At 42.4% G+C, this 26,320-nt stretch overlaps 1 long non-coding RNA gene across 1 annotated transcript; it reads right to left on the bottom strand.

The window, feature by feature from the left end:
* Nucleotides 1–992: 992 nt before the first annotated feature.
* On the bottom strand, nt 993–17,834 carry LOC124901450 (uncharacterized). Its single transcript, XR_007059840.1, has 2 exons — nt 15,627–17,834; nt 993–4,148 (listed from the first exon to the last, which is right to left on the bottom strand). It is a non-coding gene; the product is annotated as an uncharacterized LOC124901450 (long non-coding RNA).
* Between the last annotated feature and the right edge of the window lie 8,486 nt (nt 17,835–26,320).

Consider the following 26,320-nt stretch of genomic DNA (forward strand, 5'->3'; position numbering starts at 1 on the left):
CAGCAGCCAACTTCTCATTCAATGTCATTCTCCATCGGCCCAGGTAGGGCCAGTGCATTTCCCCTAGAGGAGCATCTTCTCTTGGGAATAGTTCATATTTCAATGCAAAAAAAAGTGCTTGTTTATCCTCTCAAAATATGAACAAAGAAAAACTAAGGGTGGGAACAGAAATTTGCAAATGAAAGCCAGATTGCAGCCTCTTAAGACTTTTCAAAAGATGATATCATCTCCGTACTATGCACTAACGAGCTCTTGATAATCAGTACTATTTCCATTCTTATAATTACAGCAATCTCTTCAAGCTGTCAGAGCTGTGAGCCTCTGATCCCAGTGGGGCTGTGGAGTTACTACCTTCCAGCAGAAAATCCCCATGCCTATAGACAAAACAAGTAAATAAAGTGCTATATGTACCACTGTTTTCAAATGTATGTAAACACTTTGTAAGTCATAAAATATAAGGTTATGTAAGGCATTACTAAAATTAGTCTGTTTTTATCTTTACATTTTTTTCTGAGTGATTCAACATAAAAAGTATAACTACTACAAAGCAGATGCACTGGAAATGTCATATTTACTTTCTTTAACTCAGCTTAATTCCAATTCTGAGTTCCCATCCCTCTGGACAGGCAGGAAAATTGTTTTCTCCCAAGTTCCCCTTACTCAGATGCAGTGCTAGTGTTCCCTCATCAGTTCTCATTCATTCTCCCCAGAGGTTTCATCAGATGCGGAACTCTTCAGTGAGTCTGGGTAGCAGATGGCTGGAGTCCAGCCCCATTGGGTGCAGCTGGCAGCTTCTAAGGGCATGCACCTGTTAGGGCCAGCACCACAGAGCTCTGAGCTCCTGCCAGTCTCCTGAACTCTCCCTACTCTAGGCTTCAAATGAGAAGGAAATAAATTACATATGGGAACAAACTCGACATGTCTATCAATTATGTACTATCATCTTATATCAGTTGGGGTCTAATTCGGAAACAAAAGAAACCACACAAGAGTTTTAACAGGGAAACTTTAATATAAAGAAATGCTAATTATAACAGAGGATTAACTACATCCTAGAGATAAATAGAACATAAGGACAAAGATGGGGTTTAATAAATATTTCACTGAAAATTTGATTGAGTGTCATATATGAATTTTTGTCAGTCATAGGGGTAAGGAGAACTTTAAAGAATCCCCAAGGGATGAAGGAGAGTCCTCAAAGAAAAAATCAAAGCTAAAAAGGTGAGGACCCACCTCTCCAAGGCTGGGATTCAGATCTCACTGGAAGAGGTGTGCTTGCAGCCCACAGGATGGTGGAGAAACTCACTGAGTTTTCCTGAGCCAGAGCCAGTCCACCAGAGCTAGGCAGAGGGTGGCAGACAGAGTAACATGAGCTGGGACTGGCAGGCTAGAAGCCTCCCATTGGCTGCTGGTGGTCCAAGCTATGGGCAAGGAGCTGCAGCTGGGACTGGCACAGGAAACACCCTGCTAGGATGAAGGAGGCTCAAGGCTGAGAAGCTGACCACTAAGGTGCCTGCTAGACTCACTGAGAATCTGCCTGTGCGGAGGCCCCTGAAACTCAATGAAGGTGGGCTCCACTGGATGTCCTCCATTCATGCCACAGGCTGCCACAGTAGGATTTAAAAGAAACAAACAGACAAAACCAGAACACTGGAACCTGGAAGTGATGCCCATTCTTCTTTACTGTCCATCTAGTGCCCTCTGCTAACAGAGTTTAACAATATGCCAGCTGCAAAGGGGAGATACTCACAAGGCCCAGCTCCATTATCATAGAGCAGGCAATGAAGGGTGGGGTTAGAGCTGAGAGGCCATAAATAGGTAACTGGCACACCTATAAAGAGATCTAAAAATGTCTTGTGTTACAAACAAGTCCTCATGTTCAAAGTATTCATCATAGACTTTTCATCCTGTTGTCTATGTCTGAGGCCAGGGCCCCAGCTCCGGTGGATATCATGTCTATGAACCGCCATCTCTTCCCAAAAAGACCTACACCACAGACTCCTATTTTCTTTTCCAGGATCCAGTCCTTGTCCCACTCTTCTCCCAGGAACCAGCCTGTTACATGGACCAGATGCCCAAGAATCCAACATATTTAACAAATATGCAACTTGAGGATTAAAAGGCAAAGACTACAAAAGTTCATATATGACACTTAATCAAACTTTCAGTGAAATATTTATTAAACCCCCTTTCTGGTACAGTTGTTCTATAAATATAACTTCCAAAAATAACTTACATGCTGGAATATATGCTTCTCTGGTAAGAAATAAAATTGAATTCTGTTAAACTGCTGCAGCCATCTACAAAGAACACACTTCATCATTACATATTATGCATCCACATACCCAAATGTATCATATTAGTTCTAATGGAAATAAAGTAAATTTTTGGCACTTTTTATAATTTGAATTAAAAGTCTCCACTGAGTTACAAAGTGCTTAGAAATTTTATTCAGAGATATAGATATTGCAAATAAAGAGAAAAATTCGCAAATGACAGTATTATGCCACAAAGGGCAGAAATTGAGATTTTAAAGTTAGAATTAACAAAATTTTTCAATGAAGTGGTAAGAAAAACATTTAAACAATTTTCCCAGATACCAGCAAAAAAATTAAGATATAATGAAAAAAGACATTATATTATGGAAGTATCAGTAATGGTAAATACTTAAAAAGAACTCTATACCTTTTGCAAGAATAACTAGTGTCCAAAGGGCATTGGTAAAATGATAGTGCTTGAGCCAGTGCCCGATACACTGCAGACTCCCCAAAACATTTACTGCATTGACTGAAATTGAAAACTTAAGACATTTTGGCAAACTGACTTTGATTTATCCAATCATATTTAAAGATAAGCAGAGTTGGCCAGGCGTGGTGGCTCACATCTGTAATCCCTGCACTTTGGGAGACCAAGGCTGGTGGATCACGAGGTCAGGAGTTCAAGACCAGCCTGGCCAACATGGCGGACCCTTATCTCTACTAAAAATACAAAAATTAGCCAGGCGTGGTGGTACGCATCTGTAGTCCCAGCTATTCGGGAGGCTGAGGCAGGAAAATTGCTTAAACCCAGGAGGCGGAGGTTGCAGTGAGCCGAGATCCTGCCATTGCACTCCAGCCTGGGTGACAGAGCAAGATTCTGTCTCAAAAAAAAAAAAAAAAAAAAAAAAGATAAGCAGGGCTAACCTTTAGTAAATATGTCATCTGCAAAGTTTTGTCCACGAGGATCTATGCTTGACAATGTTGTTAGGGGCTGGCTCCCTCTGATAAAGGAGAACTGCCTGTGGCATGTGACTGAAATAGCACGTGTGCAATGTTGAGTGGCATGCCCCCTCACAGCCCAAAAAGGCCAGGGCAGTTGCCTGGGCGGAGTATAGGAGTTGGGATGGGGGGAGGGCGTGAAGGAATCTTTATAAAGCTAGGAAGGAAATCAGACTTGGCGGGTATTGTGGAAACTGATGGAAAGCCCATCGAATCAGAAGCCGCGCGCTTGTGTCTGCAGCAGCACAAGAGGCAGGGCCAGTCACCTGGCAGGACTGAGAAGCGCATCTAGACACACTGACAAGGCGTGCAGTGGGCAGGCTTATCTAGAGTGTGGGTACAACTAGAGGCTCCTCAAAGCTTCGCCCGTCTATGGGTGCCAACAAGATCACATCGATTGTAAGAATTCCAAGCCGCACTGGGGCTGGCCTACACTTCCCAACACGAGACCCACCTCCACTCCGCACCTCCAAATCCCACCAACCCCCTCAACCGGCCCCCAGCCTTGCCCACCCACACAGACCTCCCCCTCACTCCCAGGCTTCATATTTCCTGGGGTCCCCTCGGGGTCTCTCACACGTGCCATAAAACGCCCAATCCTCCCCTGCACATTGGTTGATGCCCGGAAGCAGCTCTCCCCTCCAGTGTTGGAGACGCGCAATCCTGCTTCCCCTCCTGCGGAAGGTGAGCATTCTCCCAGACTCAGGCAAACATGCTGGCCTCGCATCTCCCATCGTCAGTTTGCCAACATACCCAGGCTCCAGTGGGGTCAAGGTTCAGATTCCATCCCAGGAGGCACCTCTTTGGTGGGGACTCCACAAAAGACTGAAGGCATTGGCTTCTGTCCCCCAACCTCACCCACAGCCATCAGCAGCTGCCCTCTTCTGCATTCTTTGATCAGTAAAAGAAGTAACATCTGAATCTTGTAGGAAGCCCTACACACAGGCAACTGTCAGACACACCTCCAGCTACGCCTTCTAGCTTGGTTGCCATCCTTAGGCCCCTCCTACATAAAATTCTGGCATCTCTGCCTCCCAGGATCCCCACCCCGACCCCCACCATAAAGGCTTCTATGGGGCCCATCCTGTTTGGTGATAAATTTGTAGGCACGCATCTCCAGCTTTCACAGATTCCAGCCAGGACCCTCGAGCACCTACAGCATAATGCCCCACCAGTCACTACTAGATACTTTCTGAAAGAACAGGTAGGCAGGAAAGCAATCACCTCCCAAACTCTTGCTCCCTTTCTAATGCTATTTCTAAGGTGAACCTTATAAGAAAAAGAATTTTATAATAATAAAGAGCTGGAAAAGATAATGAGCATTTAAAGGATACGAATTTCTCAAGAATTACTCATATATAAATTTTCATTTGGCTTTTTTTTTTTCAGAGACGTACCCTCTATTTACAGCAGGAGGAATTAGGCAAGAGGGTCATCTGGATTTGATCCAAAGTGAGGACCTGAGTTACCTGGACAGGTTTTTTGTTAGATTCAAGTTTTTCGGATCATTTTTCATTTTGGGGGGATGAGTTGGTTGGTTGGTTGGTTAGTTAGCTGATATTTTAAATTGTGAAGGCTAGTTTAGTTTTGACAGAGCAACCATGCTCACGGGTGCTAGCTTTACAAAACAAACAAACAAAAACAAAAAAACTCAGTGACTCAGGGATCAGAAGGGAACATAAATATATCCACCCACCTCTCAAACTTCTAGCACAGACATTAAGGGATTATTTTCCCTTGAAACACCCTAAAAAACAAAAAAAGAAAAGAAGGGATGGATGGAGGGAGAGAGGGAGGGAGGGAAAAAAGGAGAGAGAGAGAAAAGAGAAAGGAAAATAAAGAAAAGAAAGAGAGAGTGAGAGTATCGGGTTGTGAGGGATTTTTTTAGATAGGAGTGGGGAGACTTCTTTTAAAAATCATTAAAATATGCATATATTCCAAAAGCATAAACAGATGTTGGAGGAGGATTAAGAATTTAGCAATTTGCTATTTTAAAACTTTAGTCCTGTCTATACAAGGCTTTTGGGGGAGAGAGAGAGAGAGAGACAGAGAGAGAGAGAGAGAGAGAGAATTGGATCTAAACTCAGAATAGGCAGCTGGGTGGCATGGCCAGAACATTAAAATAAAAGTAGGGTTTGTTCTAAACACAGAGGAAAATGTTTAGAATAATAGAATTATACTCAGCAAAGAAATAAGAGCACAGCTGTTACATATTCATATTTGAAACACATTACTGCTTTGGGGTTTACTTTTTACTGGACTTTATAAATTGCAAAACTCAGGATTAATTGCCTTTCTACTTGACAATGATTTTGTTCTTTTGTTAAAACACAGCAGCTTTTGCTCACAGAGAAGTTCTCAACAGAGCAGTCAGCTCCTGAAAGTTGATCATAGCCTCACCGGCTCCAGTACAACACAGTGTATTAAGTATTTAACTAGAAAAGCAAGTTTCTTTGTCCATAATCCTACCGAAGCTGAGTAAAAGTGGAAAAATAATGGTACCCACCTCTTAAGGTTGTTGTGAGAATGAAATGGGTTATCAGCTGTGCAGCAAATGGCTCTGTGTCTGACACAAAATAGGCACCCAATAAATGCTAGCTCTAACCTTACTTCTGTCTGGCTACTCTATTTCAAAATTCTTCAAGACCATTCACAGCATTTTCCAACACTTCCTACAAAAGTGGAAAATCTCAGCAATTGGAAATTATAAAATCTCTTTTTAAATAATTTTTTAAACTTTTTTTGAGACAGGGTCCCACCTCAGCCCCCTAAGTAGCTGGGACTACAGGCATGTGCCACCATGCCAGGCTTTTGTTTGTTTTTTGGTAAAAAGGAGGCCTTGCTACTTTGCCCAGGCTAGTCTCAAACTCCTGACCTCAAATGATCCTTCTGCCTTGGCCTCCCAAAGTGCTGGGATTACAGGCATGAGCCACTGCATCTGGCCATCATCCTAAAATGTCACATATCCCATAGGAAAGTGAAAAGTCTACCATATCGGAGAGCTTTAAGCAGTGTACATGCACAAGTATCTGTAAGCAAATCATCCAGAAGAAAATACCAACCAACTGTCTAATAAACTGTTCCTAAACTCCATCACATTTATCTCAAGCATCAAAAAGGAAAATTCTTTTTTTCTAAAAGAAAATAGCTTTTTTGAAAATAAGCCTTCCATCAAAAGTCTCCTGTTTTAATTATTATTATTATTATTTTTTGAGACAGAGTTTCATTCTTGTTGCCCAGGCCGGAGTGCAATGGCACGATCTCGGCTCACTGCAACCTCCGCCTCCCAGGTTCAAGTGATTCTCCTGCCTCAGCCTCCCAAGTAGCTGGGATTACAGGAGTGTGCCACCATGCCCAGCTAATTTTTTTTTTTTTTTTTTTGTATTTTTAGTAGAGGCAGAGTTTCACCACGTTGGCCAGGCTGGTCTCAAACTCCTGACCTCAGGTGATCAGCCCGCCTCCGCCTCCCAAAGTGCGGGAATTACAGGTGTGAGCAACAGCATTCAGCTAAATTCTTAATTTCAAAAAAAGAAAAGCAGTAAACTCTTCTTACAGTTATCCAATGAAATAAGCTAAGACATCTGAAAGACATATTGTCTTAATCTGTTTTGTGCTACTATAAATTTACCACAGACTGGGTAATTTAAAAAGAAAAGAAATTCATTCTTTTTAGTTCTGGAGCATGGGAAATCCAATATCAAGGTACCAGCATCTGGCAAGAGCCTTCTTGCTGTGTCAGCCTATGGTAAAAGGGCAAAGAGAGGGTGAGAGGAGAGCAAGAGGGGACTGAACTCATCTTTTTATAAGGAACCCATTCCCACAATAATGGCATTAATCCATTTATGAAGGCGGTGCCCCCATGACCCAAACACCTTCCATTAGGCCTCACTTCCCAACACCACTGCATTGGGAATCAAATTTGCAACACATGAACGTTGGGGGACACATTCAAATCATAGCAGATACACTGAAATTTCTCTTGCATTTGCACAAATCTCTTCTATCTATTTACCCAGGGGAATGTTTTTCTCACATGGGCCATTAACATGTGAGGAAGAAAAAGGAAAGAAAACAATAAATGCGTAAGTTGAAACAAAACGTATAATGTAGAAATGCAAATATTTGAAAGTCCGCTGCATTTAAAAAGCTGTATTGTGTATAGATGGAGATTTTTCTTTACTCCACTTTCTCCTCACCAATATATGATGCAATATTTTTCATTCAATGTTCACAAAGTAATTTATCATCAGATTGTCAAGTCCTTCACCAGCCTACCATGAGGAATTTGCAACTGCGCATTCTGAATTTGGAGAATCTTATAAACCGATGACAGGAGACTATGATCATACAAGCAAAGAGACAGCTTAGATTTAAGCCAACCAGGGGGATGAACAAAGAAACAGCTTAGACATCAAGTCACTGTGCTTCAGAGCCTCTAACTCCTCTGGCTCTTCAGATGCTCCCAAATCTTCTTCCTCATTGTGGTATTTATCTTAACTGATTTAAAATATGAAAGAAATATTCCAGCTTTTTACAATATTTAAAATAGAAAAAAATGAAAGAGCTTGAACACAAAAAAATTGAAGAATAGTTAAATTATGGTTCACCACCCCAGTTGAGTACCAGGAAGACATTTAAAATGATGGTGATTGATACAGTTTGGATATTTGCCTCTTCCAAATATCATGTTGAAACATAATCCCCAATGTTAGAGGTGGGGCCTGGTGGGAGGTGTGTGGGTCATGGGGGCAGATTCTTCATGAATGGCAAGGTGTCATCCCCTTCTTGATGAGTTCACACGAGAGCTGGTAGTTTAAAAGAGCCTAGCCCCTCCTCCCCTCTCTCTTGCTCCTTCTCTCACCATGGATATGCCGGGCTTCCCCCTTTGCCTTCCGCCATGATTGTGAGCCTCTTGAGCCCTCACCAGAAGCAGATGCTGGACCTGTGCTTCTTGTGCATCCTGCAGAACCATGAGCCAAATAAACCTCTTTTGTTTATAAATTACCCAATCGCAGGTGTTCCTTTATAGCAAAGCAAAATGGACTAATACAGTGATAAAGACTATGGAAAGTGGGAAAATCAGAGCACCTCACACCTTGGGACGTGTGATGGCCATAGTCTGGAAACACAGACAAATTAACATAAGAAATGATGTATTGATGTTACATTATAATACACGAAGTGTGAAATAACGTCACATATTATGTTCACTTTGTTTCCTGTCACCGTGATATGCAATCCATCACAGTGCACACAGTGCTAAGGCTGCATTTCCACCTGTACCTGCATCGGTGATGCACTGCCTCAGATGATTTCTGTCTGATTTTTATGACGAAAACTGTGCTGGGCACAGTGGCTCACATCTGTAATCGCAGCACTTCGGGAGGCCAAGGCAGGAGAATCACTTGAGCCTGGGAGTTTGAGATCAGCCTGAGAAACATGATGAAACTCTGTGTCTACAAAATATATATATTTTTAATTAGCCAGGCACAGTGGCACATGCCTATAGTCTGAGCTACTCAGGAGGCTGAGGTGGGAAGATCACTTGAGCCACGATTGTGCCACTGCACTCCTGCCCAGATAATAAAGTGAGACCCTGCCTCAAAACAAAAAGTTAAATTAAAATTAAATTAACTAAAATTTTAAAAGCCTGTGCTTTTATCTCATTATAGAAGTAATCAAGGGCCTTCAGATCTAGCAAGCATGGCACCCTCTCCAGTTGGCCACATCATTCACCAGTTTGGGAAATTAATCATCTCACCACTCTGGCATAATGGGTGCTGTACATTCCTGTTAAAATCATTTCAAATGACTTTCTCCAGACATTTAAAAACAGGCATTAGGATCACTTGAGGCCAGGAGTTTGAGACCAGCCTGGCCAACATGGTGAAACCTCATCCCTACTTTAAAAAATACAAAATTAACCGGGTATGGTGGCGCATTACTGTAATCTCAGCTACTAGGGAAGCTGAGGCACAAGAATTGCTTGAACCCAGGAGGCAGAGGTTGCAGTGAGTTGATATGGTGCCATTGCACTCCAGCCTGGGTGACAGAACAAGATTCTGTCCAAAAAAAAAAACACTGGCATTAATTGACCACTTTAAAGGGATCAAATACATTGGATGATTGCCTATATTATCAGACTTTATGGGGCTGTCTATTGACCCAAGGATTCTGACATATCTCAGTGTGGCTTCAGCACTCTTCAGGGACTCACAAGCCTCCTGGAGAAAGACTTATCCTTAAGGAGAAGGAAATCAGTGTTCAGAGCTTGGCGAAAGAAAAACTCCTTAGATTTAAAGGAAGGTGCAGTTATGAATACAGCCCCTCTCTCTAATTGTCCTCCAAAGAGCTCTCAAGAACAGACTTTCTTGAGACCTAAAGAGAACAGGGCCTTGAATAAAATTGACATCTTTATGAAAATCCTGGGGAGGTACTGAGACACAGCTGTCTTCAGATCATGTAAATGGGGCAGATCCATTGCCCCTCTGAAACAATGGCTCCAAACGTCCTTGGGTAATGAACAAGAAGAATCACAGAGACCATCTGGCTGGCGGAATCTTAGAAGAAGCATATTATGAGAGTCAAGAAATATTTGAGGGTTTCTTACATCGTTTGTGAACTCCAAAATTACAATAACGTCCTCCACCATCTTGCACATATTTCATCGTCATCTCAATAGACACTGTGACTATGAAAGGCACAGGACAGGTGCTTACAGATATCATGAGCATATAATTTATCACCCAACCCAGGAAATTTCTGAAGTTGTAAAAAAGATGCTATCAAGAATGATTCCAGGACGGCAGGTGTAAGCCAGGACTGACAAAGGGATGTCAGTACACAGGATCACCCCATGAATCTACAGGCTGCAGAGAGAAAGCTTTAATCTTTAACTTTAGCCTTTTGTTCTCATCAGTTTTTTTTTTAATCCTCTCAGCTCTTGCTCTTGTATGCATATCTTTAGTCAAAGAAAATATGCAGGCTGGCCGGGCACAGTGGCTTACGCCTGTAATCCCAGCACTTTGGGAGGCCGAGATGGGTGGATCATGAGGTCAGGAGATTGAGACCATCCTGGCCAACATGGTAAAACCCCGTCTCTACTAAAAATACAAAAATTAGCTGAGCGTGGTGGCACGTGCCTGTAATCCCAGCTACTCGGGAGGCTGAGGCAGGAGAATCATTTGAACCCGGGAGGCAGAGGTTGCAGTGAGCTGAGATCATGCCACTGCACTCCAGCCTGGGAGACAAAGTGAGACTCCGTCTCAAAAAAAAGAAAAGAAAAGAAAAAAGCAGGCTTTCCTAGACATCTTAACCTGCCAAACTAGAAAATCCCTAAATAGTAGTCCTATATACATACATTATTTTTATTTTTTAAAATTTTTTATTCTTATTTTTTGAGACAGGGTCTTGCTCTGTCACCCAGTTTGGAGTGCAGTGACACAATCTCGGCTCACCACAGCTTTGACCTCCTGGGCTGAAGCCATCCTTCTGCCGCAGCACCCCCAAGTAGCTGAGACTACAGGTGCACACCACCATGCCTGGCTAGTTGTAGAGACGGGGTTTCGCCATGTTACCCAGGCTGGTCTCAAACTCCTGGACTCAAGCAGTCCACCTGCCTCAGCCTCCCAAAGTGCTGAGATTACAGGCATAAGCCACTGCACCCAGCCTGAAAAAACAAACAAACAAACAAACAAAAAACAGTTCTTAAACGCAAGGCACCATCCTAGATGTTGAGGAACATGTCACTTGGCTCTTGGAGCTTGCACTCAGGGAGGCAGATGATGACTAGGTGGCAAATAAATCATTGAAGAGGTGCCTGATTAAGGTATTACCTCTGGGCATGGAAGAGTCTATTTATTTATTTATTTTTATTTAATTTTTTTTGAGACGGAGTCTTGCTCTGTTTCCCAGGCTGCAGTGCAATGGCACGATCTTGGCTCACTGCAACCTCCACCTCCTGAGTTCAAGCCATTCTCCTGCCGCATCCTCCCAAGTAGCTGGGATTACAGATGCCCACCACCACACCCAGCAATTTTTTGTATTTTTAGTAGAGACAGGTTTGCCATGCTGGCCAGGCTGGTCTTGAACTTCTGATGTCAGGTGATCCACCCGCCTCAGCCTCCCAAAGTGCTGGATTACAGGCGTGAGCCACCACACCTGACTGGAAAAGCTTACTTTTAAAAAGAAAGGTCAGGAAAGACATTTCTGAGAAGGTGACATTTGAGAATGTGACATTTGACCTGACTGCAGGACAGCACTGACCAGTCTGACAAACCCCTTCCACAGGCCTACAGTAGTTTTGTTTCCAGCCCTACACCACTTTTCCTGTTTCCTCCCTGCTTTCTTAGATCTCATGGAGTGATGGCAGTAGAAGTGACCCTTCAATGGTTTCCTCATGAGATGGAGTGAATACAGACAAAAACAAAAGAGCTTTCCGTTGCAGGCTTAGGAAAACCTTGGGGAATAGAATTATCACTACCAATCAGCATTGAGCAGCCATAGGGGTGCCTGGAATGAGATGCGCCTGAGTTTGCTTTTAATCATCTACAAAATTATCATGATCTTCCAGGAGTCCTTCGCTTTGAGATCAGTAAAGGAAATTTATACTCAGAGAAAGAGGGAGGACAGACTGTCCTGACCTGGACTTAAGTGATCACAGTATTCTCTCAACTTTGAGTTCATGTTTACACTGAAGCCAGTGTGTCTCTGACCCCATAAGACTCCTAGCACTATTCCTAGCCTCCGTTGGCCACAGGTCCCACTGACAGATACGTTCTTGTGGTAAGATATTCCTAGTGGTCAATATGATTCCTCCCGCAGGCATATTACATTGCAGTTTCTTATCCCACTGTTCATGGCTAATTAGAATAATCAATGTCTCTCTCTTCCAAATGTTAGCCACATGGGGTCAAGTCAGCATCAAGCTAGTTTTTTATCACAAATTTTCCATATTCCTCTTTTCTTCCACATACCAGGTCAAGATTGCTACACCCCTCTCAACTTTTTCCAACATGTGAATTTTGGAAACGTAACAAGAAGGAAGAGTGAATAGACTTTTCAACTGGGGACCAGCAAGAGCCAAAGGAAATGGAATAATGAAGCATGTTCTGCTATTGAGCCTGGGTCTGTGACCATGTCCAAATGAGGCTTTTGCTTTTTATAGGATGCAGATCATATCATTCACTCATGCTCCATAAGACCCTAAGATTTATCCATGAGACTTATCCATAATATTTGCCCCAAAAGATTTATCCATAATAGACTATTCTACTCCCCACTTTCTCACTCACTCTTTCCCCCTTTCTCTCTGTGAACCTTCTACTCAAAGCCAGGTTTTCATAAGGGCACATTTATGAGGCTATTGTTCACAGATGATTTACCCAATTTTTCTTTATTAATTCTCCTTTGATTGCTTTCAGATGTTGTCTCCTATTTTTCCAGATAGGTAATATGTTTTTCAATCCTCATCCACACAGTAAAATATTGTCATTTGCCATATTATTTGGATCCTCAATAGATTTTTTTCAGGTATATTTACTACTACTTGACATCCAGGCAATACCCAATAATAATAGTAAACTCTTAAATAGTATTTACTGTCTTCCAGGCACTGTTTTGAGCACTTTACATTTATTAGCTCATCAGATTCCCCAACAGCCTTGTGAAGTACGTGGTGTTATAACAATTTACAGATGAAGAAACTGAAGCACAGAGAAGTCAAGTAAGTTGCCCAGTGTAAATCCCATACAGGTCTATTGTGTTTGTTCCTTGGCACTCAAACTTAGTAAAATTGCGTAATGTTTTTGTCTGTGTTAATTTATCAAATTCCTATGTATCTCTTTTCTGAAACAGAAGAAATAGGTCAGTTCAAAATAATCATTAGGCCAGGCACAGTGGCTCATGCCTGTAATCCCAGCACTTTGGGAGGCCGAGGCGGGCAGACCATGAGGTCAAGAGATCGAGACCATCCTGGCTAACACGGTGAAACCCTGTCTCTACTAAAAATAGAAAAAAAAAAAAAAAAAAAAATTAGCCAGGCGTGGTGGCGGGTGCCTGTAGTCCCAGCTACCTGGGAGGCTGAGGCAGGATAATGGCATAAACCCGGGAGGCGGAGCTTACAGTGAGCCAAGATCAGGCCACTGCACTCCAGCCTGGGCAACAGAGCCAACCTCCATCTCAAAAAATAAAAATTAAAAAAAAAATCATTACCAGTCAAAATGGAACCAGACATCTTTTTCTGATTGACTGATTAAATTGGATTGGTTGTAGCTCTGCTCTTCCAGGAGAATGGATGGGTAGCTCCCTTGTAGGGAAATGACTCTGATTAGCTTTCCAGGCCACTGAGCTAACTCATTAACATTTAGGATATTTTTTCTGTCCCAATTCTATAGCTTGGCAAAGTGCACTTTTCATGACCTGCCTCCAGCTTCCTTCCTTCTTTTTTTTTTTTTTTTTAAATAATTTCAGCTTTTATTTTAGATTCGGGGGTATATGTGCAGGTTTGTTACCTGGGTATATTGAGTGATGCTGAGGTTTGGGGTACAACTGATCCTGTTACTCAAGTTGTGAGCATGGTACTCAATAGTCAGTTTTTCAGCTCTTGCCCTCCGCTCCATCTCCCCACTCTAGTGGTCCCCAGTGTCTATTGTTGCCACCTTTATATCCATGAGTACCCAAGGTTTAGGTCCTACTTATAAGTCAGAACATGCTATATTTGGTTTTCTGTTCCTGCATTAATTCACTTAGGATAATGGCCTTCAGCTGTATCCATATTGCTGCAAAGAACATGGTTTCATTCTTTTTACGGCTGCATAATATTCCATGGTGTATATGTACCAAATTTTCTTTATCCAGTCCACTGGTGATGGGCACCTAAGTTGATTCCTTGTCTTTGGTGAATACAGCACTATTTGATGAATAGTGCTGTAATCCCAGCACTTTGAGAGGCCGAGACAGGCAGATCACCCGAGGTCAGGAGTTCGAGACCAGCCTGGTCAACATGGTGAAACCCCATCTCTACAAAAAATACAAAAATTAGCCGAGCATGGTGGCGCACACCTGTAATCCCAGCTACTTGGGAGGCTGAGGCAGGTGAATCACTGAAATCCGGGAGGCGGAGATTGCAGTGAGCTGAGATCACTGCACTGTACTCCAGCCTGAGTGACAGAGTGAGACTTGGTGAAAGAAAGAAAGAAAGAAAGAAAGAGAGAGAGAGAGAGAGAGAGAGAAAGAAAGAAAGAGAAAGAAAGAAAAAGAGAAAAGAAAAGAAAAGAAAAGAAAAGAAAAGAAAAGAAAAGAAAAAGAGAGAAAGACAGGTCAGGTGCGGTGGCTCACGCCTGTAATCCCAGCACTTCAGGAGGCCGAGCCGGGCACATTGCTTGAGGTCAGGAGTTTAAGACCAGCCTGGCCAACATGGTGAAACCCCATGTCTACTAAAAAATTACAAAAATTATCCAGGCGTGGTGGTGGGAACCTGTAATCCCAACTACTCAGGAGGCTGAGACATGAGAACTGCTTGAAGCCAGGAGGCAGAGGTCACAGTGAGCCTCAGCTCACTGTGATTGCACCAGTGCACACTCCAGCCTGGGCAACAGAGCAAGACTAGTCAAAAGAAAAAGAAAAAGAAAAAGAAAAACAGCAGTCCCCTGCCCCATTTTCCCACCCCCAAGTCTTAGCTACTTTCAACTCTTAATTGTGTCTTCTCCATATTTCTAAACAATATGTTTGTTAAATGAATTAGGATTATGTTCATTTGCAAGTAACAGAAACCCTTCTACAGTGACTTAAACAAGTAAAGAGTGTATTTGTCACACACAAAAAGAAACCCAGGCATGAATCCCAACAGGGCCTTCAGAAGCCAAGCTCCTTTCACCTTTCTATGATGCCATTCTTGGCTTGTGACATTCATTGGCATGGTCACAAGGTGGCTGCTGTATCTCCAGGCATTGTGTCCACATCCCAGGAAAAACACAATGGGGAAGGACAAAGGCATCTTTCCTAGAAAAGCTCTGTTTTTAGTTTGAAAAGGAATACCCACTGCAAAAACTCCTGCCTGTGCCTTCTTTAGTCTTTTCAAGATTGCAAGTTGTTGGGGCTTGTGGGTGGGGTGGGGGTGGGAGGAAGAGTTTTCTGCTCCTTTGTATAGCGTCTCTATTTCCTCCAAATTCTTTTTTTCTGTTTGTTCATGTCTTTGCCATTTGTTTCTTACTGATCTGTCTCTAATGTTCAAAACTTTCCCCGAAGTCTTGTGATCTTTGCCTCCTCACTCACGTTTAAGAGTAAATCTCAGACAAAGTGGTTGGAATTACTACGTGCTTGGACAGGACATGTGGACAGAGGTTTTCACTGCAGGGAGAATAAGTGTACCGTTTTACTGGACATACACTGTTGTCAGTATCTGTAGGCCTTTCACTTGGGCTGCTCAGTCTCCCCAGAGAGAACTCCTCCAGTATCCCGCTGGTGACCTAGGAGTCTGGTTGACATCGTCCTAAACAATGAGTGGGGAAGGGTTTAGGGGATCTCACCATTAGCAGATCTCTCACCTTAACTGTGTCTGGCGTCCCTGAGTCCAGAGTTCTTGTGGTCCAGTCTCTTCACAGAGAACCACAGTCTTCTGCCAGGAGAAGGAAGGGATAACTATCTGACCACACTGGACCAAGGGACCCACTTACTTCTGCAGACTTTCAACCAGTCCCCCAGCTTCAGCCCCACCTGCGTCTTCAGAGGATCCTGGGTCTCTGGGTCCTGAGCCTCTCCAGGCCCTGCTGCATGGGCAGCTTTCGCCTGGGCTTCCTTCCCCGCTGCTATATCTGCTCTGCTAGGTCACTTTGCACTCATCCAGAGGTTTTCTGGCTTCCAGAATATCTCAGCTTCCTCTCTACTCCTGCTTTCTCATTTGCAATTTAAAGCTTTTCAAAATCGCTATGTGGTTGTTTGAATGGGAATTCCAGAGAAAGGAGAGGTGCATCCACTAAGTTTATCCAGAAGTCACTTTTTCCATATCATGAATGCAGTCATCGCTCGAGGACCAGTGCAAATGTCTGCTCCTCTGTGAAGCTGTCACCAAATTTCTTTCCATCCTTCTCCACCCTAAAATTAATCCCTTCCTCTCTTACATTTCCACAGCACTCAGCACAATTCTCCCGTCCTCCCTCTGATCACATCACATCACATCAGGATTGGGGATGTTAGCCCCCAGCTAGAGAACAACCTCGTAAAGGCAAACACATTTTAGCAGTCATCTTTGTATCCCTACCTCCTGCCTGCGTGCTTGACCTAAGTAACTTCTTAACTTTCTGTTTTTTATAAATTAAAAAACGCTGATATAAAAAATAATGGACTAGGGCCAGGCGCGGTGGCTCACACCTGTAATCCCAGCACTTTGGGAGGCCAAGGCAGGCAAATCACAAGGTCAGGAGTTCAAGACCAGCCTGTCCAACATGGTGAAACCCCATCTCTACTAAAAATACAAAAATTAGCCAGGCATGGTGGCACGTGCCTGTAATCCCAGCTACTTGGGAGGCTGAGGCAGAAGAATCACTTGAACCCAGGAGGTGGAGGTTGCAGTGAGCCAAAACCACACCACTGCACTGCAGCCTGGTAACACAGCAAGATTCCGTCTTAAAAAAAAAATGGACTAGGAGGCAAGACCTTCAGGATTTCAATCCCAGCTGCTGTGCTGAGAGTTATTATCACTTTGTGTGCATTCTCCTGGTTCAAAGCCAGTGCTCAGTAAATGATATTATTCTTATTGTCAGTCTCTCTAAATGGCGCAAATGTCCGTTTCTCATAGTAAGTATAATAAGACAGACAACACACTTACCAGGAAGGGGAATTCTAAGATTAGGAAGACACAGCAGGTAGCTTTCAGCCAATATCTCAAGAATAGAATAGGAAAAATTCTGGCATCAGAGCTGGCTTGAGCCCTAAGATGGCCAGTTATTTTTATTTTTCAACAGCTTTCTGTGTTGTAAATTAAAAGTAATGTTCACTTTTAGTCAGTAGGTTTTTCTTTAGCCTAAATTACAGTCTTTTAATTAAAAGTATTAGCATGCCTTCCTTAAAATTATTACTAGTTAGTGACTTCAGTTATAAGAAATTTTATGTAATTATTTCTATGACACACTAGTCTTGTGGATGGCCTCATTTTACAAAAGAAATACAAAAGGCAAAAGCGGTACCTCAGTGGCCAGGATGTACAGAAACAGACATGCCCAGCCTCTCGATGCAAATTCTTTCCTCTAGGTGGCACTGGGGTACGATTGTATTCTAGGAGCTATATCTCATATTTTTAGTAATGGGGTTCATGAGCACTTGTTATTAAACTGAACAATCACACTCATTTACAAGTGATAAGGACCAGAACTGATATCAACTGATTAAATATTGTGCTTACCCTAAAAACCATTCCAGGAAAACGATATGAAGTGATTTGAGACTCGTTGGTTCCAGTTTTATATGCCATAATACTCTCAATTCACTTCCACTATAATTGAGCTCACATATTCAAATAAAGAAGAAAGAACAACTGGGCATGGTGGCTCACACCTGTAATCCCAGCACTTTGGGAGGCCGAGGTGGGCGGATCACTTGAGGTCAGGAGTTCGAGACCAGCCTGGCCAACATGGTGAAACCTCATCTCTGCTAAATATATGAAAATTAGCTGGGTGTGGTAGTGCGCGCCTGTAATCCCAGCTACTCAGGAGGCTGAGGCAGAAGAATCGCTTGGATCCAGGAGGCGGAGGTTGCAGTAAGCTGAGATGACACCACTGCACCCCGGCCGACTCTGTCTCAAAAAAAAAAAAAAAAAAGTCACAGAAAATTGAGCTCTTTCACTGAAGTTTCACCAGCTATTACAATGCCATAAAATGACGGATCGCTTAGCCCACACTCTCTGAGGATAATGTTTGGACTTCCAGTTGAGATCCCTCATCCGCATTCTTTCTTCTTCAAATGCATAGAAATCTGGGTAAAGTTAGTTATTCACTAGTATATACCCAAGCTCAGAAGCAAGAAAGAGAAAGTGCTAGAAGAAAGAGAAAAGAAGGAACCTTACAGAGTGGGCAGGTTGGAGGAAATCTCCAGCTGGCCTGTAAGGGAGGAAGCAGAGGCAGATGGAGAAACACCCTGGGGCAGGCCACCCAAAGGCAGAAACTGAGGATGAAAGAGCCAAGGAGTGCAAGCTCCTGAAGTGGGCCTGGCCCAGGGTGGGGAATTACTGTTACTACTTCAGCAAGAAGAAAATTTAGCCCAGAAGGGAGAAGAGTGCATGAAGCAATGAGCTTAAAACAAACAACAGAAAACTTGGAAACTCTAAATAAACACCTATCTCAAATATAAAAATAACAACTCCTTTTGAGATTACAAACAAATGTGGAACTAAAATAATAGATAACAACATGGAAGATGATAAGTGGATTCAAAGGGAAGTTACAGCATTCTAAGGTCGCTGTTCATGAGTAGGATAAAGATATTTATTAACCTTAGACTTTGTTAGAAAAATAAAAATTATATATATGTGAATAGAAATAGAACTTATATTAATAATTTCTAAATCCACAGAAGAATAAGGGAAACTTTTTATAAAAAGAAAGGAAAGAGAAAGAGAGAGAAAAAAAGAAAAAGCTCTTTTAGTTCAATAGAATGCAGTAAAGAAAAAATAAGAACTTGGCCAGCATGGTGGCTCATGAATCTCAGTACTTTGAGAGGCTAAGGCAGGAGGATTGCTTGAGCCCAGGAGTTCAAGACCAGCCTGGGCAACACGGCGAAACTCTGTCTCTACAAAAGATAAAAAAAAATTAGCTGGGCATGGTGGTGCTTGCCTGTGGTCCCAGCTACTCAGGAGGCTGAGGCGGGAGGATCACTTGAGCCCAGAAGGTTGAGGCTGCAGTGAGCTGTGTTCACGCCACTACCTTTCAGCATGGGTGACAGAGCAAAATGCAATCTCAAAAAAAAAAAAAAAAAAAGAAAGAAAGAAAGAATAAGAACCAAAGAAAAACATAGTTGACACAAAATAAAATGATAGAAAGAAGTCCAAATGCATAGTAATTATAGTAAACATAAATATATTTTGACTCACTAGTTAAAAGACAGAAACTCCCAGAGGTTTTTTATAGAATATCTAGGCTTTTTATTCAAAAACTGGGCATAAAAATTTGAAAATAAGGCCAATTTAATAGTATTAATTTAGTCAAATAGAATTAAGGCCAACAATACTAATAAAGATAAAAAGGGAGCTAATAATAAAAAGAAAACATAACTAATAAGATGTAGAAATCATAAATTTGCTTCACCTAACAAAATACCCTTGAAATACATACGCCAAAAATTACCAGAATGTAAAGTACAAATTGACAAATACACAATCATAGTGGTTTTTTTCAACACATCTCCATCAGAAACTGTTCCATTAAGCATGATAAGAGTGCAAATGATTCAAGCAATACAATCAATAGCTTGATATACATCCCAATAAATACAACATACAGTCTTTTGTGAAAGCAATTCTCAATGCAGTTCAAAAAAAATTATATCACATAAACCAGGTTCTGTAATTGCAATAACATTACAAACAATAGTAGTTTTTTAACTGAAAAAATAAAAATACCTTTAGAAATTAAAAGGCAGATTTCTAAAATAATTTATGGTTTAAGGAAAAGCTCACATGAAAGTTACAAATATTTAGTACTAACAACAAAAATGTAAGATATCAACATTTATTTGATGCCACTAAACCAGGAAGCATATTTTAGGAAACAAAAAAGCCAAAACAATGAGATAAAAATCTTCAATCAAAAAGCTAGAGAAGTCACAAACTGAAAAAAATATTTGAAAATCACATATATGGCTGGGCACATATAATATATATAATTACACGCCTGTAACCCCAGCACTTTGGGAGGCCAAAGCAGGTGGATCATGAGGTCAGAAGTTCAAGACCAGCCTGGCCAAGATGGTGAAACCCCATCTCTACTAAAACTACAAAAATTAGCCAGGCGCAGTGGCAGGTGCCTGTAATCCCAGCTACTCAGGAGGCTGAGGCAGGACAATCGCTTGAACCTGGGAGGTGGAGGTTGCAGTGAGCCAAGACTGCGCCACTGCACTCCAGCCTGGGCAACAGAGTGAGACTCCATCTCAAAAAAAAAAGAAAAAAGAAAGAAAATCACATATATGATCAAGTATTTACATCTAGAAAATATAAAGGACTCTCAACACTCAATAATAAGAAAACAAACAACCCAGTGAAAACACTTGGGCAAAGTTGAACAAATGCCTTACCAAACAGGATACACAGACAGCAAATCAGCATGTGAAAAGATGCTCAACATCTTTGATGCTGTTTTAATTAGCATACCTAATTAAAACTATAATGAGAGCCTGGGCAAATGGCAAAACCCCATCTCTACAAAAAAATACAAAAATTAGCTGGGCATGGTGGCACACGCTGTAGTCCCAGCTACTCAGGAGGCTGAGGTAGGATTGTTTGAGCCTAGGAGGTCAAGGCTGCAGTGAGCAGAGATTGTGGCACTGCACTCTGGCCTAGGGGACAGAGTGAGACCCCCATCTCCAAAAAAAAAAAAAAAAAAAAGCCTATAATGACATGTCACTATATACTAAATTAAAAGAATTGATCATTCATAGTGTTGGTGATATGTGAACAAGTGTTGGCAGAAGGTTTCTTTAGGAGTCATTCCATGACTAGATATTTATTTATCCAAGAGAAATTAAAACATATGTCCAAACAAAACTTGTACATAAATGTTCATATCACCTTTCTTTATAATAACTAAAAATCTAGTGAATGAGAAAAAAATATTTTCAGCCCACGAAAGTTTGTAGTTAGGCCAGGTGCAGTGGCTCACGCCTATGATCCCCACACTTTGAGAGGCCAAGGCGGGCAGAACACTTGAGACCAGGAGTTCGAGACCAGCCTGGCCAACATAGTGAAACCCCATCTCTACTAAAAATACAAAAATTAGCCAGGTGTGGTGGCACACACCTGTAAACCCAGCTACTCAGGAAGCCGAGGCCAAAGAATCGCTTGAACCCGGGAGCCAAGACCATGCCACTGCACTCCAGCCTGGGCCTCAGAGCAAGACTCTGTTTCAAAAAAAAAAAGTTTGCAGTTGGGACAGACTTTTGTAACCAAAGACAGATTAACAAGAGAAAAAGAAATTACTAATGTGCGCAGTGCCTCAGTGGAAAGTGACTTAGGCAGTAGTTTAGGTGTGTGGCTTATATAGTATATCTAACAAAAAAACAATACATTTTAGAAAAGTGACAAAACAAAATAGAACAGTCCCAGGCTTCCAAAGGCAGGAAACTGTGGGAAGGTAAATATAGGAGAGGACAATAATGGAGTAAAGTCTGTTCACAGGTTTCTCTAGCGCCATATCTGAGCTAATAAGGGTTTATCTAATAAAGGAGAATGTACATCCTATCTTTAGGCAGAAAAGTTGGGGAAGGGGAATAGAAAGACCTTTTGTCTGTAAATTTCTGTCCTGTCTTTTTTTTTTTTTTTTTTTTTGAGATGGAGTCTCACTCTGCTACCCAGGCTGGAGTGCAGTGGCACAATCTCAGCTCACCGCAACCTCCGCCTCCCAGGTTCAAGAGATTCTCCTGCCTCAGCCTCCCAAGTAGCTGGGATTACAGGTGCCTTCCATCACACCCGGCTAACTTTTTTATTTTTACTACAGACAAGGTTTCACCATGTTGATCAGGCTGGTCTCATCTCCTGACCTCAGGCGATCCACACCCCCTTGGCCTCCCAAAGTGCTGGGATTACGGGTGTGAGCTGCCACGCCCAGCCTCTGTCCTGCTTTTAAGCAGAGAGAAAGCAGAGAACTGTCCTGCATCTTAATTGTCTTTAGCTCAACCATCTTTTATATTTTGGAGAGTTATATCCTGGTCTCTCACACCATAAACAACCCTAATGTCCATCAGTAAATGGATCAACAAACTGTGGTACATCCATACAATGGAATACTGCTATGCAGTGAAGAGGAATGAATTCCTGATACACACAACAGCATGGAGGAATTTCAAAATAATTATGCCAAGCAAAATAATCTATACAAAAAGAAACGCCTACTGTATGATTCCACTGATACAAGTTCTAGAAAATACAACCTGCACAGTGATGGAAAATGCTGGAACTCAGAGAATGATATCCAAAGTATGACACTTTGACATGCTGAGTGCTTTGAACTAAAGAAGCAGCCTCAGAACCAAGGTCTCTCTGACCTTTCTCCACCCTGCTGTCTATCCTCTTTCTCTCTCAAAGTATGAGAAGGGGCTCTCTCTGAAGTTTTCTTTCTCTGACTAAGGGAAGTTCCTCCAGAAGGAGTGCCATTGTCATGAATTCCTTCCCTGAAATCTGCATTAACCAGAGAAGTTGAACTTGTATTGCAGGAGAGGAGGCAAAAGGTCTCCATCCAGGTCACATGCCCAGACTCTTCACCTATTTTTCTGAAGGCGGCTACCTGAGAGATTGCCTGCATAATAAGACAGCCTTTGTTTGCAGTGTAGTTCCTCCCCCTATTCTCCCATAGCTTGTCACCATCGCTCTCCAGGAGCCTCCAAGCCCCATTTCTTTCTGTATCTCAAAATGCTATTTAAGCTTCAACCATCTGGCCCATTTTTGAGTCTAATATTCTGTGTGGTTGCTGTGCACATGTGCACATAATAAACTTGTATGCCTTTTCTCCTGTTTGTCTACTGTCAGTTGATTCCAGAGACTTAAATTATTGAACCTTTAGAGAATGGAAGGAAAGGTCCCTCCACCACTATGAAAGCAAATCATCAGTTGCTGGGATCTGGAGTTGGGAGAGGCAGAAGGAAGGGATTGCCAGGGGCATGAAGAAACTTTCAGGGGTGATGATGCGGTTGTGATTGTGGGGATGGTTTCATGGGTATATAAATCAAAACTTATGAAACTGTAAACTAAATATGTGCAATGTATTGTATAATTAACAATTATACAATATGTGCAATGTGTAACTGACAAATTATACCTCAATGAAACTTGTTTGAAAAAACAGCTTGGTGTCTGTGCAAGTGTTGATTAAAAAAAGATCAGTGAATCAGAACAGTGAGCCCATAAATTGATCTGTATATGTATAAATATAAATATATAATGTATATGTTATATATAAATATACATATATGTATATTTAGAAACTTGGTATAGGAGAAAGATGGTATTACCGACAGTGGAGAACTGATGAATCATTCAAGTAGTGGTATTAAGGCAGCTGGCTTTTCTTATTGAAAAGTTAAAGTAGATGCATACTTCCAAAATAAATACCAGGTTGATCAAATACTCAAATGTGGAAAGAAGAGGTTAAAATTATCAGTAAAGATGAGGAGCAATGACGCATGCCTGTAACCCCAGCATTTTGGGAGGCCAAGGCAGGAGTATCACTTGATACTCGTGGCTGGCCATGAGTTCAAGACCAGCCTGGGAAACATAGCAAGACTCTGTCTCTACAAAAAACAAACAAACAAAATTAACTGGGTGTGGTGCTGCATGCCTATAGACCCAAGTTACTCAGGAGGCTGAGGAGGGAGGATCCCTTGATCCTAGGAGTTCAAGGTTGCAGTGGACTATGATCACACCACTGCCCTCCAGTCTGGGCAATAGAGAAAGACCCTGTCTTAAAAATAAAAAATAAACATGTTCGTGACTAATCCTTTTCCCCAGGCCAATGCAGAGTGAATGTTTAGGGGAAAAAATCTAAGTTGGCAAGTTTCTCACTTTTCTGCAGTTTTTGTTCTCTCTTTAGTTTTCCTTTGGGACTTTCAGGATTAGTTGATCCAGAAGGCAAACAAAAGGATTTCGATAGAAGATAATATAACTGATTCCCAGGAAATAGGACAGAGACATGCATCAGAGTTTCAGCTGGCCTTGACTTTCAGCTGAGAGCCTCTTGAGCACCGGCAGGTGACAAAAGCACAGGGATGAGTTGGTGTCATCTTACTCCCACACCACCTCCTTCTTTCCTGCAGAAGCACTTTTCTGCACCTGGGGGAGCAGGACCACTAAGTCTCCGTTAATAGAAGGACTCACATGCCCTGAGGTCACATTTCTGATTTATTGCAGTGCCCTCTATGAATCAGATCCCTGCTGGGCTGGCCTGCCCATAATTCAACTCTTATTTTAAAAACTTACAAATCAATAATACAAAGAAAAACTGCCCAATAAAAATATGCCAGGCAATAAATGGGCAAACTTCTTGATTTTCTTTTAGCCAGAACCTCCCAACACAGCCAAGTGCAAGCAGCAGGGTAGCCAGAACAAGGCATCTGGAAGCACCTCAGTTGTCACGTGCAAACTAAAGGAGAGGCCTCCTCTGGGTGGATAAGGTTCAGGGCTGGACTCCACAGCAGCTGAGCTCAGCACCACTCACCCTCTCTGCCAGGTGCCAGGTGCCTTTTGGCCATGCAGAAACGTCATCATTTTCCATTGTATCCCTGGTCAGAATCCCTCTTCCTCAGCTTACAGACCATTCATTAGCCCAGTTTTTCTCATTTGCCACCCTTCTCTCAAGAAGCTTTTTAGACATTTTTTTCCTAATCACTCCCTCCCATAAAGTGGTAATGATACAAGAGATAGAAATTATTTAGGCAGATAGTGAGGGCAAAATAGTCCTCAGCAAAACTTCCCTTCTTACGAAAAAGCAGCCCAGGAAATCATTTTCCTCTTACAAAGAGCAGCCAGAAAGATCGAGCTCCAAACATAGATACGGAAGCTGGTAGCTTGCACGGGGGAATGCCAGCAGCTGCGCCAATAGAAAAAAAACTACCTGGGGCCAGGCATGTCCACTGTGGAAGCTCCACCTTCCCTTTTTTGTTAGCATGTGTACAGTAAGGAAGAAATGGGCAACATAGAGAAGCTCAGGCAGAGAACCCACCTGCATAACAAAAGATTGGGGTGGGGGCTGCCAGAGATTCATACCCTATGTAGTTGGCACATCTGGTTCTAGCCACCTCCCCACTAGCTCATCTATAAAAACCCCTGTATTTCCCTGAGGATCAGCAACCAATTTTTTCCCAGACCCCTCTCTGTAGCAGAGAGCTAGTCACTTTCTTTCACCTATTAAATTTCCACTTTTAACCTCACCCTTTGTGTGTCTGCATCCTTGATCTCCATGGCCATGAGAAAACAAACCTCGGATGTTGCCCAGACAATGAGGCTGCTTCAGTAATACACAGATATACTGCATATTGGTCATGGACTGAAGGACTTTAGAGGGCCATAAACCATTGGCATTTCCAAGATTTTTTGCCCCAACTTTTGAATAAACTTTTGCCCCCATAGGGTGATGTCACCCTGTTGAGAGTTCATGCATTAGCTGTTAGCTGTGGAGCCTGTCCTCTGTCACTGGAGGAATCCACTCACCTGCAGTGAGGTTGAACACAGCCTTCACACTGATGGCACTAAGACAACTAGCTGGTACGCTCCAAGACCAGGCACCCAGTAACGGTCCTCTGGTACCACCTGCAGGCAGCAGGAACCTGGCATAGACCCCACCGCCTGCTGTGCCCACTCCTCATGCTCCCTCCACCTCACTAACCTCCACTCTTACCTGGTTTTCTTCTATTCTCACACACTGCTTCCTGGTTTGCAGGGAGAGAGAGAGAGAGAGAGATATTCAGCTCACAAGAGAATCTCATGATTTTTGAATGCTTGATGAACAAAACCTCATAGTCTTTAAACTGGCCAGCTGATAAAGTAACAAATTCATTCATGTGCTAATTTGCTCATTCAATCAATGACAGCAGAAGAAGAGGACCCTGTGCTAGGCTCGAGGCTGTGTGTGGGGGAACAGGAAGTTGTCCCGAAACACAGGACAGTGGGGTGTGAGAGGTGCAGCGTCAACTGCAGAAAGAGCTGATGCTTGAGCACAGTCTTGAGGAATGAGCACGACTTGGTTTAGTGAATAATTGGGGACCTTTGTGCACAGACCAGGAAAGCAGATGGGCTTGGGAAACTGTATCATAATACAACAGCCATGGTGTGGAGTAAAGGCATGGAAACTGAGGGACTGAGGATGGTGGCA

This window comes from Homo sapiens, chromosome 6, assembly GCF_000001405.40.
Source record: "Homo sapiens chromosome 6, GRCh38.p14 Primary Assembly".
NCBI classification, from domain to species: Eukaryota; Metazoa; Chordata; class Mammalia; order Primates; family Hominidae; genus Homo; species Homo sapiens.